Here is a 14,298-nt window from a genome sequence, read left to right on the forward strand (position 1 = left end):
CAATAGGAGCATCCTCGTTCCTCCTCCTCAGGGGCTGGACCCATAGCTTGAGTGGCAGTGGGGACATCCAACCTGGCTTCCTCAGTGGGGTTTGGCCATGGAGGTGCTCAGGGTGTGCTTGTTGGAATGATGGGGGATCTCGCTCTGGGATCTGTCTCCTAGACCCTGTCCAGGGCTCCAGCTGCCCCTTCCCTCTCTGGGCTCCCAGCTGGGATGGGAGGGCCTTGGGCACAGGCTGTAGAGCCCCTGTGGTCGGCTCCCACCCCTCCCCAGAGTGCTGCATGTGAGGATGGGGACTGCCTCACTCAGGAAGCCATCCTGTCATCCCAGAGTGTGGTGTTGGCCTCGAACTGGCTCTTGATCTCCCATGTGGGGCATGGCTGGAACCATCCCAGGGTCAGTGTGTCTCAGGCTCCAGCTTGGGCATCTTGGGACAGAGACTGGAGGGGTGTTTCTCCCAACATGGCCAGGCCAGCGTGGCTGTCATCCTTGGACATCAGTCAGCAGCTGGCCAGTGCCTACCGGTTCCACCAAGCTCCATTCTTGGGAATGCAGGGCCCGGACATTCAGTCCAGAGACTTTCCCTCCCGGGGCTCTGCTGGGGGTGCCCCTCCCCATGAGCCCATCTTGACATTTGTGAGCCCTGCTCTGTCTGCTAATGAGCGATCTTCACCAGTCCAGCCTGCCATGGCAACCGCCCGCAGCCTCGCTCTCTGTCCAGGCACCCGGTAGCTTTATCTCCGAGGCCATCTGTTCTGGGAGCACAATTCCAAAGCCATTTAAACAGAGCCTGGAGCAGGGCAAGGCGCTGGGCCCTCTGTCCTCACACGTGTCTGTGCACACACTCAGGCACACACACGCACATGCACATGCTGATGTGGTGTGACCCCTGCAGGGTGGAAGGTGATGACAGGGACAGTCAGGGTGCCCCACCGGCTGCTCCCTTTTCCTGCTGTCACCGAGCCGGTTCCTGGGCACCCTGGTGGTCGGCCAGTCTGTGTCCTCCTCTCTTTCTCTGTGTTCCTCACCTCTCTGTCCATCTGTGTGTCTGAGCCGGCCTGGTTTCTGCCTCACCTCTCTGCCTGTGGGCCACCTCTCCCTCTCCATCCTTTGTCTCCTTTCCTGCCCCTGTCTGTGTCCGTCTCTGTGTTTAATCGCCTTGACCCTGGTCCCTGGACCCCCTCCCTGGCCATTGCCTCTGTTTCTTTGGCCTTTGTCTCCAGCTCGTATCTCTCCTACTGGTTCAGCTGCTTTTTGCCTTTGGCTATCGTTCTGTGCTGGTAGGACCAGGACATCAGGGGGTTTCCACCCCTGCCTCACCCTCTTGGATGCTCCTAGAACAGTCAGGCAGGGGCCTGTCCCTCACTGTTCTCCTGGTCCACTCTGGGCGCACCTGTCTCTCCTCCCCACTTTCCTCTGCCTCAGGGTGGCCAGGTCATGAGGCGGGTGGGGGGGCGGGGGTACTTTCTCGTACTGCTCTTAGCTTCCTGGGCCCAGTGCCCAGGGTAGTGCCTTCAGCCTGAGCTTCTTACTCTCCAAGCCCTTCACTCTGAGCTCCTCCCTCTGAGCCCAGTCCCGCTGTTCATTGAATGTGCTTCCGTTTCCCGCCCTGCGGCCTTCACTCATGCTGTGCCCTCACCCTTTCCTGGTCAGGCCTCCCTGTCAGGAGCTTCTGTCTCTCTCTCCACAGGGCTGGACAGATGCAGCATCCTGGGCTCAGCATGGAGCCTCCTGGCTTCCCCAAACCACGCATGGCTGAGCTTGCAGCCTTGTTCAGCTGACCCTGCCCTGCAGGCCCCTCTGAGCTCCACAGAGCGTTGACACCAGTCTGACTTCCAGGGGGATGGGAAGGAAGCCCCTCTGCAGCTGCTTCCAGTTCTTCCTGAGGCCTGGCCTAGGCTGCCCCTGCTGCAGGGAGCTGTCTCCTCTGGTGCCACAGCAGTCACGGTGACTTTGCCTTCTCCTGCCGGTGCCCCCAGCCCTCAGCTGTCTCTCCTCTGTCTTTCCTCTGTCCCCACATCCTTTGTCTCCTGGGCTGGGCTGTTGCTGAGGCTGCTGTGAGATGCACAGATCCCCAGGACCCTTGGGCTGGCCCCCTCAGAGGCTTGAGGGCCTGGTGACCTGGGTCCTCTGAGCAGCTTCTGTCCTCCAGGTCACTCTGCTGTTTCAGCATCCCCACAGCCCAGCCAACCCCCTAGGATGCCGCCTTCCAAGGTCATGGCCCTGGGTCAGGGCAGAGCAGGCAGAGGAGCCGTATGGGCAGACCAGAGGGGCTTCATAGGTGCCCCTGTATTGGGTGCCCTACTAAAGCAGAAACCAGTGCCAGCCTAGACAGCGATGACCAGCAGCCTGTGACCTCTGGAGCCCGGGATGTGTCCGGACATATCACGTCAGCCCAGGTGGCGCTGAGTGCTGGGAACCCAGCTATGGTGGGTGATGTCCAGACGGCTTCCCTTGGGTCAGCTGCAGCCCGGCTTCCTGTTGAGGGCAGGGAGGTACAGTGGCTACACGCAGCCCTGAGGGAGGCTGAGGTATTGCCACCTTCAATAGCCAGAGCTGCATCCCACACACGGGGCTGGACTCTCCCGGCTGTGGGGTGAGGCTGGGCCGCATGGCCTATGGCAAATGCCCCTCAAACCCTAATGCATCCACGGTCAACCTGGTGAGTTCTGACTCAGCCTGGCCAGGTTCCCCTGGAGCTGGCCCCCTGAGCACGTGTTGAGTTGGGGTGGGGGAGCTGGAGGGCCTTTCTCGAGCAGAACTTCAGAGAGGAGCGCTGGCCCTGTCTTTCCTGATTCTGAACGTGTCCAAGTCGTTTCATCACGTGATGGATTACCAGGCTGGTTGGTTCTACCGAAAGGCAGCAGCACAAGCTTTTCCTGGATTTCTCACCATTGTTCCTTTAAATAATCAGTCTTAATTAACTCCATCCGAAGAACATATTTTCCCCAAGGGTAGGGAGTCCCAGTCAGGTGGAGCAAGTTGGAACTGCAAACTGCATTTGATAGCTGTGGTGTTGGGAGGAGCCCCCTGGCTACTGCGAGGGGTGTCTCCGTGATGGGCGGGCAGATGGATCAGCACCAACCCCTGCTGGCACTTTCTGACATTTCTGTTGCCCTCATTTGATAGATCGGGAAACTGAGTCACAGAAAGGTTTGGCAATCTGCCCCAGGTCACTTCCCCTAAGCACAGACGTCCTTGTGGACGAGGAGAAGAGGCAGAACTCACAGGGGAAAACCCTTCTTCCACACAGCATCTGCTGTGGCCAGCTGCCCCCACCTGCCCCTGTCCCCACCTGTCCCTGTCCCCAACCTGCCCCACCTGTCCCCGTCCCCACCTGCTCCTGTCCCCACCTTTCCCATCTGCCCCTGTCCCCATCCTGTCCCCACCTGCCCCACCTGCCCCACCCATCCCTGTGCCCAACCTGCCCCACCTGCCCCTGTCCCCACCTGTTCCTGTCCCTACCTGCCCCACTTGTCCCTGTCCTCACCTGCCCCACCTACCCCTGCCCCCACCTGCCCCTGTCCCTGCCTATCCTTGTCCTGCCCACCTGTTCATGTCCTCACCTGTTCCTGTCCCCCACCTGCCCCTGTCCTCACCTGCCCCACCTGCTCCATCCCACCTGTCCCTGTCCCCACCTGTCTTTGTCTCCACCTGCCCCATCCCCACCTGCCCCACCTGCCCCTGTCCTCACCTGTCCCACCTGCCCCTGTCCCCACCTGCCCAACCTGTCTGTGTCCCCCACCTGCCCCTCTGGTCCCTGCCACCACCTGCCCCACCTACCCCTTTCCCCTACCTGCCCCACATGCCCCACCTGTGTCCCCCACCTGCTCCACCTGCCCCACTTGTCTGTGTCCCCCACCTGCCCCACTTGTCTGTGTCCCCCACCTGCTCCACTGGCCCCTGCCACCACCTGCCCCACCTACCCCTTTCCCCGACCTGCCCCACCTGTCCCTGTCCCCACCTGCCCCACCTGCCCCTGTCCTCACCTGCCCAACCTGTCTGTGTCCCCCACCTGCCCCACTGGTCCCTGCCACCACCTGCCCCACCTGACCCCGCCCCTCTTCTACCTTCCTGACCCCATCCCCTCCCCTCCCCCTACTTGCTCCACCTGTCTCACCACTGCCATATGCCCCTCCTGGCCCCACCTGTCCTACCTGTCTCCCCTGCCTCCAACCTGCCCCTCTTTTGCCCCCCACATGTCCCCCCTCCCCCCTCCTACCTCCACCTGCCCCACCTGTCTCCCCACCCCTACCTGCCCCTCTTGGCCTCCCACTTGTCCCCCCTGCACCCACCTGCTTCCTCCTGCTTCTCCTGCACGCTCACCAGCCTCTGAGCACCTTCACCCCTCGATGTTCTCTCCTCTAAACAAGATGACTCACCATTTATTTCCAGCCTAATCTCTGCCCCCAGCCTCAGCCTCCATACTGTCACCCTTGTTGACGGTGTCACCTGGTGACTAACAGGCGCTCAGACATCCCAGCAGAGCCAGCAACTCCCACAAATCTGCCCTCCTTCAGCGTCTCCCTCTCAGGGGGTGCTGCCGCCCACCTCATGGCTCTGGCCAGCCCTGGAGTCTCCTGTGGCCTCTCTGTCCCTACCACATCCAGACCCTCAGCAACCCGATTCATTCCTGAGGGGGTGTCCCAACTCGAATGCAATTCGTCACTTCTCTTGGGACACCCTTTACCGTCTATTGCCGCCCAGTAGCACTCACCATAGACCTCACTGAAGATGTAAATGTTAAACATTTTGCTCTTGGTCACCCAGCTGGGAGGGGCCGGTCAGGGGTCAGTCCAGATCTGCCTCCTCCAAAGGTTTGAACCCTCCATACTCCGGGCCTCCCCCTCAGTGCTGCCCTGGATGGGAGAGACTAGCCTGGACTTGGCCACGTGTTGGTAGAGGTAAGCCAGCATCACCTGGGCCTCCACCTGTCCCCTGCAGGGACAGACACCTGCAGAACCTGAGGACCAGGAGGTGACCCTGAGCTGCCTGGGGTGATGGGAGCTTCCCTCGGCATCAGGGGAAGCTGGCCCAGAGGACAGCCGGGCTCCATGGTGAGGCCAAGTTCATCGTTTCAAAGGGCCCCTGTGGGCAGTGAAAGGTCGTGGGCCCAGTTCGAGGGACTAGGAATCATTCTGGAAGAGGCCTCTGCAGTGCCCACCTTCACTCCCATCCACACACCCTGCCCCTCCCTGGCCCTGGCGCGGCTGTAGCTGCTGGAAGGTCCAGGTCCTTCTGGGCAGCCCTCTCTCCCTGCCCTTTCCTTCCTGCACACCCCACCCTCTGCCTGCAGGGCCTGAGGTTGTCGAGGGATTCTTGACTTCTACAGTTTGCCTCCCCCTGGCACCTCCCACCATACCTTGTGCCTGGGATCTGGTGGTGGGGAGTCAACCACACCAGCTGAGGGCCCTCAGGGGCCTTGTCTCAACAGGCAGTGATTGGGTTGTAGGGAGCGAGACCTGACCCCACTCATGCATCCTGGCTGGTTCCCCACCAGGTTTCAGGCTGGACCTAGTGTGGCAGTTCCGAGAGAGGAAGCGGGGGAAGGGATGCATCTTCAGGAAGGGCCCCCTCCCCTCACTCACTGTGAGTCCATTACTGTGTGGGAAGGGCTGTGTCTCTGCCTCCCCTCACTCCCCTTCCCTGGCCCTGCGGGGTGGGGGAGAGATTGTCTGGGGCCTGAGCCCATTGTGTGGAGAAGAGAGCCTCATTGGCAGGCAGCCGGGGCATCAATTTGTGATTATCTGCTCCCTGGTCTTGATTGGCTGGATGCAGTGGGGTCTCCCCAGGGCCCTGGGACACAAGTTTGTGCAGCAACTTTTTCCAGCATGAAGTGACGTGTGTTCCCAGAGAGAAGGTGCACCCCCTGGCCAGGATGACGCTCTGCGGGACCTTCCTGGGTGCGTACCACCCCCAGCCCCTCGCGTCCCTCCCTGGTCTGTTCACAAGTTTCTGCGAAGATGCCAAAGGGACTAATTAGCTGTGTGTGTCCCCCCCTCAGAGCTCAGTGCTCTTTTCTGGGCAGCCAAGGAGGTGACAGACATGCTCCCTCCTGAACAATGGCCAGGGCCCCTGGGGAAACAGCCACCTCCCCTTCTAGCGGATCCCGTGGCTTGCAGAAGTGCTGACGGCACAGAGCCCTGTGAACGCTGCCCTGCAGAAGGTTGGAGGTGGGAGGGCGGTGGGCAGGGTGTGTGCAGAGGCCAGCTGGGCCTTCTTTCTGTTGATTTACCTGCCTGGATCTGCCTGGCAGGCCATATAGCTGGTGGGTGTCAGGAGCCCTTGGCCTGGAGCAAGGCTCTGTGAGACTCTGTGAGAAGGTGGCAGAGAGAATGTGTGTGCGCGCGCGCGTGCGCGCGACAGATGTCCCCTGGGACTTAACTGTAGCTAAGGGGCTTTGGCCAGGGCCGCTGCTGCTTGCGTCCTCATCACACTCAAAGTTGCTGTGTGTGTGAGTGCACGTGTGTGAGTGTGCATATGTATGTGAGGGTCTCACAAACTGGATGCCAAATGTTTGTGAGCGTCTGCGTGAGTGTGAGACAGAAACACAAAGTCAGCCCCGAGTGTGGCGGAGAGTGGATCCCGGTTTTGTTTGCTCCATCTGCCAGGGCCGGCCTGGGGCAGCACCCCCGCCCTCAGCTGTTCTATACAATATTAATGCTCACCATCTCGGCCTCACACAACGGCCCTAATTGTCGTCTGCAGCATTAAGGCAGGCGCCCATCTGCGGGGAAGCTTTCAGAAGGAAACAAGAAAACCCTCACCCCCAGCTGGTCACCGGAGAAGGTGGTGCCAATTACAGATGCAGAAAGTTTAGACCAAAATTACTTGAAAGAGTTTTTATGAAGCAAATGAACTGACACTTGGAATGTCTGTGTGCAGATTTGCACAAGTAATTACACTTTATTTGAAATGATCTTACCAGCTAAGCGATCATTAAGCCTGCTCCCCCACTCACACAAAGCGCTTTCTCAGCGAGTGCGGCTGCGGCGTAAGTTTGGTTTTGCAAATCTCCCGTTTCCCTCCCCGTGTGGAGTCTGAGGACCCGCCAGTCAGACAGGAGTTATTTCCTGGTGGATCTTTCCAAACATATTATTAAAAAGTCACATGTGACTTTCCCACAGACTTTTATGAAATAAAACCCAAAGGAACAGCGTGCAACATGCTCAGTTATGGAAGAGAAAATATTTTATGATTTCAAAAAGTCCTGACAAATTTTCACCCTCTCTAAGAAAGGAAGCTTAAGACTATACCTTGCTGTTGTCACTTACAAGCAGGGATCTGTTGGGGTTTGGAATTCTCTGTCTCAGCCCGGAGCCCAGAGTTCAGCGATAGCTGAATACTGGTGCGAGCTCAGAAGCTTCCGTGTGCGGAGAACAAAGACTGAGGCGCTCTGGGGGGAGAGCGCTGTCCGAAGTGCTGATCAGACTTCGGATCCACCCACCGCTCAGGCCGCCTCCCAGGGGCTGAAGGGCGGCAGCCGAACCGGAGAGACGTGCCGGCGGCCGCTCTTCTGTCCTGCTCTTTTCCCTGGACTCCTTTGTCTTGACGGGGTCAGCTAAAGACTTCGAACCTTTACTCATCAAAGCTCATCTTCGGAAACTGCTCATAGCACTTTAACCTCCCGGTGGGAGCTCCCAGGGCGCCCTAGGTCCTGCCAGCAGGCACCGATTTCAAGTTTCCAGGCACATTCTGAATGCTCCTCCTGGCAGCGCCACAGAGGGTCTGGGGGCCCATTCCCGACCCCCGGAGCGCCACACCTCAGGAGGCCTGTGATTGTTCAAAAGGGGAAGTGAGAAATGCCGAAAGACTTACGTTTTCACAAATACAATTTCTATTACCTGAAAAAACTGTTGTGCCCCACGAAGCCCGTGTTGCGCAGGTTCATCTCTCCTGCTGCCACCTCCGCTTCGCTGTGGTTTCTTAGGTGTGACTGTTGCATATCTGAATTAAGTCGCTTTCATGAAACCTTGGGTGTCGTTGGGAAATAAGGCTGATTCAGCAACGGCCCTCCCTTTGATTCTGTATTCATCATGGAACAATGGCCCGCAAGCCTGCCCGGAGCCTGCAGCCTGCCGATAAGAGTTTAATAGAATTTCTGAATGCCGAAGGTTTGGGGTGTAAGACATCCTAGCACTCACAGCATGTCCAGAGGAGACAGAAACGGCTTTTCAGGAGTGCTCTCAGCTGAATGTGTCCTTTTATACTAATGGATATAAGTTTATGACAGAAATTAAAAATGGTAGGCAGTCATTGTGGAAACCTCGAACTGTTCTCATTTGACTAATTAATATTTCATCCTCAGTTTGACCAGTGCAGGCTTGCATTTATGTCCTTGTGCTCAATCTGAACAATTGCTCTGTGTGCATTTTGTGTTTTATTTGTTGAGGATAATGTGTGCGTATAAGAATCTAAGATACTTGCCTTTGGGGTGAAGCTTTTGGTTTGTATGTAACGTGTAAAGCACAAACTGTATGTTAAAAATAAGCCACTAAGATTTTCAAAACATGCTCTCTTAGAGAAAGCTGTGTTCAGTTCTGCCTCAGTCACACTTTTGGTGGCCCGAGCCCTTTAGCGCTAATTAAGTTGGGGTATTGTGCTCTTGCATAATTTACCAAGAAATGATGTTTACTGTCTGTTGAAATCTCTGCACTGAACTTCTGAGATGTGAGTTTTCTGCTTCTCCAGCTGCCCTTGGACGGCGGCATCTTTGCAGGCGTCTCACATTGAGTTTTCACCCTTGTGTTTCACAGTTTCATTTCTAACATCCTGATTATGATAATGGACAATCGTTTGCCTGATTTATCAGTACAAGAAGGAGATTTGGGCCGCAAACAAGAATACTCTGGCTCTTGAGTTCTCTTACTGAAGAAATTCCCACTTTATCCCTGAATGTGGGGGAAAATATCACAAACTGGCAGATGAGAAGGCAGACAGTCAGGCTGCATAGAGAGTGGGTGAGCACTTCTATTGTGTGTGTTATGGATTTTTCTCTTCTTGATTTTCACTGGATAGCTCCTTTCAGGCCGTTTATAAAAGAATCAGGAAAAGAGCAGAAAACTTGGGCAGTGTGCTTCGCTCTGGTTGCAATAAACTTAGTCTTTTTGTGGGGGGGTTCCCATGCCCAGGAATCCCTGAGTTCTCTTTGGGAAGGTTTTTATTATTGTAAAAATTAAAGTGAAAAGGGAAAGTGTGAGAACAGAAAAATGTCTTTTCCTGATCTATTCTTTGTGTGCATGACTCTATTTTTTGGTCTGTGGCTATAGTTACCTTTTATGCCGTTAAAAAATACATATCCATTTAAGTCAGGGGTACTTGAATATGCAGATGAGCCGATATGTAATATTCCTGGTTCATTTGAGTAATAAATTCTGCAGCCCGCTCTTTATGATGGTAGATCATATTCCTCACCACCAATAAATATTGTAAAGTACTTTCGCTGTAGCCATGCTAACCCGGGGCATCTGTCATTCCGGTTGCTGCTATTAGGAATTATTGGACTGAACCACTGGCAGAGAAAGCAGAGGGGGGTGAATGTGGTGGTTGTGATGCTCTCTGCCCTTTTGTGTGTTTTGCTTTTTAAAAAAACTCAATCATGCTGCACATTGAGTATGAATCAGTGTGGACAAACATAGGCACCTTCTGTTGGCCGAGGCTCAGAGCAGGACACAGGACTCCACCGGACTGGGACACCTCTCACCCCCAATTCAGCAGATCCATCTTTCTGATGCTATACTGTAAATTTATTTCACCTCAGAGAGTAAACAGATATATTGGAGCCCCAAGGGTTCATGGGTAGCGTATTTACAAAGGAGCCTCCTCCGCCAGCCCGTGCCACCGCTGCTAATGAGAGCAGTCATTAAGTAAATGAGACGTCGCCTTTAGCTGGCTTAGGAGTTCGCACACTAAGGGGAGAAGATATTTAATTGAAACCCGCACGCAGGCTTCCCCACATGTGACCGCTGTACGGGAGGCAGCTGCCTTCCCTCTCCTCCCCCAGTCCACCCTGCACCCCCCATGTAAATTTCATGATTGCTTTCCGTGATGTCATTTTGAAAGAGGACAGACAATAGCTGTGGGGAAAGGTAAGTCAACGTTACGTTCTTTCTGACAAAGGCAGATACCCAACGCTTGGCTTTTCCTCTTGGACAGAGACAGGGAGAGGGCGCGCGGGCAGAGTTAATTTCTAAGATGAAGGCTCTGTTTGCAGGAAAAGCAGGTCTGAGGATGGCTTTTTGAAACTGCTCTGGAGGACGGGGGCTTTCTTCTCCTCCCTGGCCTGCCGTGTGCTGTTTTTCTCCTGTCTCTCTGTTGTTCATGCTCCTCTGAGATTCCAGGGGACATGTTGTGCGTCTGACAGAGGAGACATTAGGGGAAGGGGAGCGCATATCAAAACCAGAAACTTTATGCGCATTTCTGGAAGAGGAACAACGGATATGTCTGTGGCCGTGGGACCCAGCAGCCCCGTACCTGGGGAGAGCACTGGCCGCTTAAGCAGAAGACCTCTCTGAAGCAGGGTCTCAGAGTCTGGGGTGTGTCATGTGTGACCCCCACCCAAGGTACTGAGGAGAGGTGCTCACGTGAACGTTTTGTCTGCATGTCATGCATTTCTCAACTTAAGGATCAATATCTAGGGTGCATGCGTCTGTGGGATAGATGTGCAGAAGTAAATATCGGCCGCTCCTCTCAGCCCCTTTTTTCGCTACGTGTCCGTGCAGCTGTGGAGTGTGGTTGTTTATGGTGGTAGTGTAACTGGATTTTTGTATTTAAAACTAAAAATCAGGGTTAGCTAAGAAGTTGAACACCCTAATGCCATTGTCTGTAGTTCTGGGGCCGTGGACTTTGGTTCTGTCTATTGAATTCACTTTCTTCTCTATAAACCAGGAAAATAAACAAGTGCTGGTGGCTTTGTGTTGGAGTGGTGGGTTCTCACTGCTCCTCCTGAGTCACCAAGGGCTTTGCTTGTCTCAGCATCACCTTTGAATCAGTGGACACCATTGGCTGGTAAAGTTGGGTGTTTAATTTTGGAAACCAAACATTTGCGGTGGTGCGGGGGGTTCCGTGGCTGCAGGTGGGTTTGGTCCTGGGCATGGACTCTGTCACGATGATGATAATGGCAGCGATGATTATAATTATCCTTTTGGGAGAGGTCGGTGGAGAATTTTGCCCTTGCAGTTTTTTTTTTTCTTTTAAATCACAGAAAACTGAGGACACCTCTAACGCCAGTGGCTGAGTGCACAAAAGGTGGGAGGGATGTGGGGCAGACCTGGGGGGGCCCACTCGGTGCTGAGGGGTATGCTCTGCCTCTGTCTCCTCTGAGGTGCCAGCAGAGCCTGTCCTGGCCTCACTCTGGCCTGGGGAGTGGGGGTGCTGTATCCTCTACAGGGCTGACTGAGGGAGGCTCCCCTCGGCCCCCAGCCTCCCTGCCACCCCGGGCTCCCCTCCCATTGGTCCTTGGCTGTGATTATCGCCTCCTTCCATATGGCCCTGTTAATTAACGGTAAACAAAAGAGTAAGAGAGCAGGGATTGGAGTCCTGTGGTACCAGCCAGGGTGCTGCTATCAGTAGAGGCAGGACCCTGCCCTGTCTCCCTCGGTAGCTGTTCCTTGTGCAGAGGAGGCTGGGTCAGGGCTTAGAGGGCAGTTTGTTTTCAAAGAGAAGGAGGCAGTCTTATGGATTCTTCTGTCCCGTAGAGACTGAGACTCCTACAGGGTCCCCCCGACCCCCTGGGCACCTGGACGTTTGCCGAACTTCCCAGGGGTACTTGCTGATCCAGGAGCTTGAGCAGGAGCCACAGAGAGTTGGACAAAGAGGCCTTTCTGCTCTGGAACAGCCTCGGCTCTGACCTCCTTGGGCCATGAATCCCTGAAGAGGGCCTGGTAGCCCTCTTCAGAGACCCGAGGCAGGGGGGCTGCTTCTGTCCAAAGTGCCACTCGAGGGTTTTTGTGACCCTCAGCCATTGCCCACAGATCTGGAGGTAGCCTCAGTTGTTCAGAGCTAATGCTCTGGCCCCTCTTGGAAGATTCTGGCAAAGGCAGTGGTCACCTACTCCCTTGAATGCCCCTGGTGCATGAGTGGGGAAACACTCTCTGAGATGACCCCTTCTAGCCATGTGGGATGCAAAGTTGCTCTGGTCTGGGGGTTGCAGCAGCCTCTACTTGGAAGCTCTGTTAGTGCCGGAGATGTCAGGGAGAGGCTGGCAGAGGGTATGCGGCCACGGGGGTGCATGCTGGGCAGCTCTGGCAGCTGACCAACGGCAGCCTGGATGGTGGCTGGAGCTTGGCCTGTCCCTGCTGTGGATGTGGTGGGCGCTCTCCCTGGTGCTGCTCAGAGACTCACTCCCTTCCTCTCTGGCCTGGGGTCACTGAATGTGCAGACAATGACATTTGTGGTGGTGTGGTGGGTAGAGGAGACCCACACCACTCTGCACTGGGGAGACAGGGGTCAGAGCCTGACTAACTGTCTTCCTGGTGCTGCTCAGTCTGGTGATGTCTGGGCCGCTTGGAATGCCAGTTTGCACAACCCAGTACTGTGCAGAGAGAGCAGGAGAGGTTCCTGAAGACTGACAAAGTGCCAGAGAGAAACCCGGGGCCTCCAGCCGCTGCTCGGTGGCAGTGGGCGGGCTGGTGGGGGCTGAGCTCTTCCTGGACGGACTCAGTGCAAAAGGTGCGTCTACTTTGGAAAAGACTGAGCAAGGCTTGTGTCCACCCAGTCCCTCTGTCGGGGCTCAGGGTGGGGATGAGACCGGGAACAACCAGAACACTTTGGTCAGCACCGGGCCTGGAGTAGATGAGGAGGTAGAGAACTGACCCAGCTGGTGGAACAGGGGTCAGGAGGTTAGCTGTGGGGTGGGTGGGGGCTGCTGGCGGTCACCTGATCTGCGAGCAGGCAGGGTACTGGACGGTCAGCCAGACTTTCATGTTACTCAGGCATCTTGAAGAGTGGATGCTCTGCCTGTCCCAATGCTGGAAGACACATCTCAGAGCCCCTCTTTTGTTGCCTGTTCTCTTGTAGGAACCTGGGCGGGAGAGTGGAGCAGGGTGCCCGCAGGGGCTGGGGGGGCTCTTCTCTTTCTTCCTCTCTCCCATCTTCCTCATCTTAGATCCTCCCCCTCTGCATTTTCCGTGTGAACTCCCTCATGAATAAACCAGAAGTTAGTTGTCTACAGATGTAATTTTAACAGGAATGTTGTGGTGTGAGTTTACAGGAAAATGGTCTTTGGGAACCAGCATCATTAGATTAGTCAGACCGAGAAACGCCGTGTTTCCCAGAAGGGAAGAGAGCAGTGGCTGCCGTGCTGCTCCCCCGTGGGCTTCCTGCTCTTTGGGGACTGCGGGACCCATCCCCGCTCCAGGACAGCCCCACTGGGGAGCCCACTGCCCAGCCCGGAGTGTCTGCTGGAGGCCTGGGGGGTGGAATGTGCTTTCACGGCCTCTTGAGGTTCCCGGCATTTTTCTGTCTTTCAGACCAAATTTCCCCAAACATCACTTTAAAAAACTCAAAACAAAAATGAGCAAGAGGAATTTCACCGGAATTAAAATGTTTTTGATCTCAGGCTTCCACGGAGCCAGCTTCAGAGAGAAGAGATTAATGGATACTTGCAAGTGGAAAGTGTAGTTTGAAAATGTCTTCCTGTTTCTCTTCAGTGTTACTGGAACTAACCAGATACAAGTGTGGAGTCTTTTCTCCCCAGGGTTAATGCCATTAGGAGCGTTCCTTGTGGGAAGATTGGTTTCACCCATCACTTCATCCTTTTTTTTATTTTACAATTTGCACTTAAAAATGCAATGTTATTTTAATCGGGAACGAAAGTAACTCAGCGTGCTTTAATCTGCCCTGGCTGAGTACATCTGCCTTGGCCAGGATTGGAGTCCAGGCCTTGCAGAGGAGAGAGGATGTCGACACAGCTGTGGGTGTCTGTGGTCCTCCTGCCACCCCTTGTCCTGCAGCACCGGAAGCCTCCACTCAGCAGCCCCAACCTTCAAGAGAGTGACTTTGTGCTCTGGCAACTGAGTGTGTGGTTTGCCCTGGGGTTGCTTGGAGTTGATTGGATATGTTCCCTGTGCCTTGGGGTTTATTTGGGACTGTGGCCTGGGAGCACGGCCTGTGCCAGGAGGGTGCAGGTTGGATGGTCCTCAGGAAGTAGGCTGCAGCGCTCTGCAGGAGTCAGGGTGGCCAGGCAAGGTGGGGGTGAGCACTGGGGATCTGGATGCTCGGGAGGAAAGGTGGAGGCACCATATGGCCTGAGCTGCTGACAGATGAGCCTGCTGGCCCCACCTCTCTCTCACGCCTGGC

The 14,298-nt window shown here is 55.4% G+C and overlaps 1 protein-coding gene across 1 annotated transcript in view, besides 2 other annotated features; it reads left to right on the plus strand.

Moving 5' to 3' along the window:
* Nucleotides 4,048-4,768: an enhancer, noted in NCBI's record as "H3K4me1 hESC enhancer chr20:62790052-62790772 (GRCh37/hg19 assembly coordinates)". NCBI's record gives its function as "activates a minimal SCP1, AML or CMV promoter by ChIP-STARR-seq in naive H9 embryonic stem cells {active_cell/tissue: H9 hESC(naive)}" and the evidence as "EXISTENCE:reporter gene assay evidence [ECO:0000049][PMID:30033119]".
* Nucleotides 6,679-8,159: an enhancer, noted in NCBI's record as "VISTA enhancer hs2609". NCBI's record gives its function as "enhancer in: hindbrain (rhombencephalon)[2/4] | midbrain (mesencephalon)[2/4] | forebrain[2/4]" and the evidence as "EXISTENCE:transgenic organism evidence [ECO:0001131][PMID:17130149]".
* The window catches only part of MYT1 (myelin transcription factor 1), a 77,802-nt gene continuing 73,304 nt past the window's right edge, over nucleotides 9,801-14,298 (plus strand). Inside the window, exon 1 of the mRNA NM_004535.3 lies at nucleotides 9,801-10,088. The gene's annotated coding sequence lies outside the window, so the exon portion shown is untranslated. The remainder of the gene's footprint in view (nucleotides 10,089-14,298) is intronic.

This window comes from Homo sapiens, chromosome 20 (genome assembly GCF_000001405.40).
Source record: "Homo sapiens chromosome 20, GRCh38.p14 Primary Assembly".
Taxonomy (NCBI): domain Eukaryota; kingdom Metazoa; phylum Chordata; class Mammalia; order Primates; family Hominidae; genus Homo; species Homo sapiens.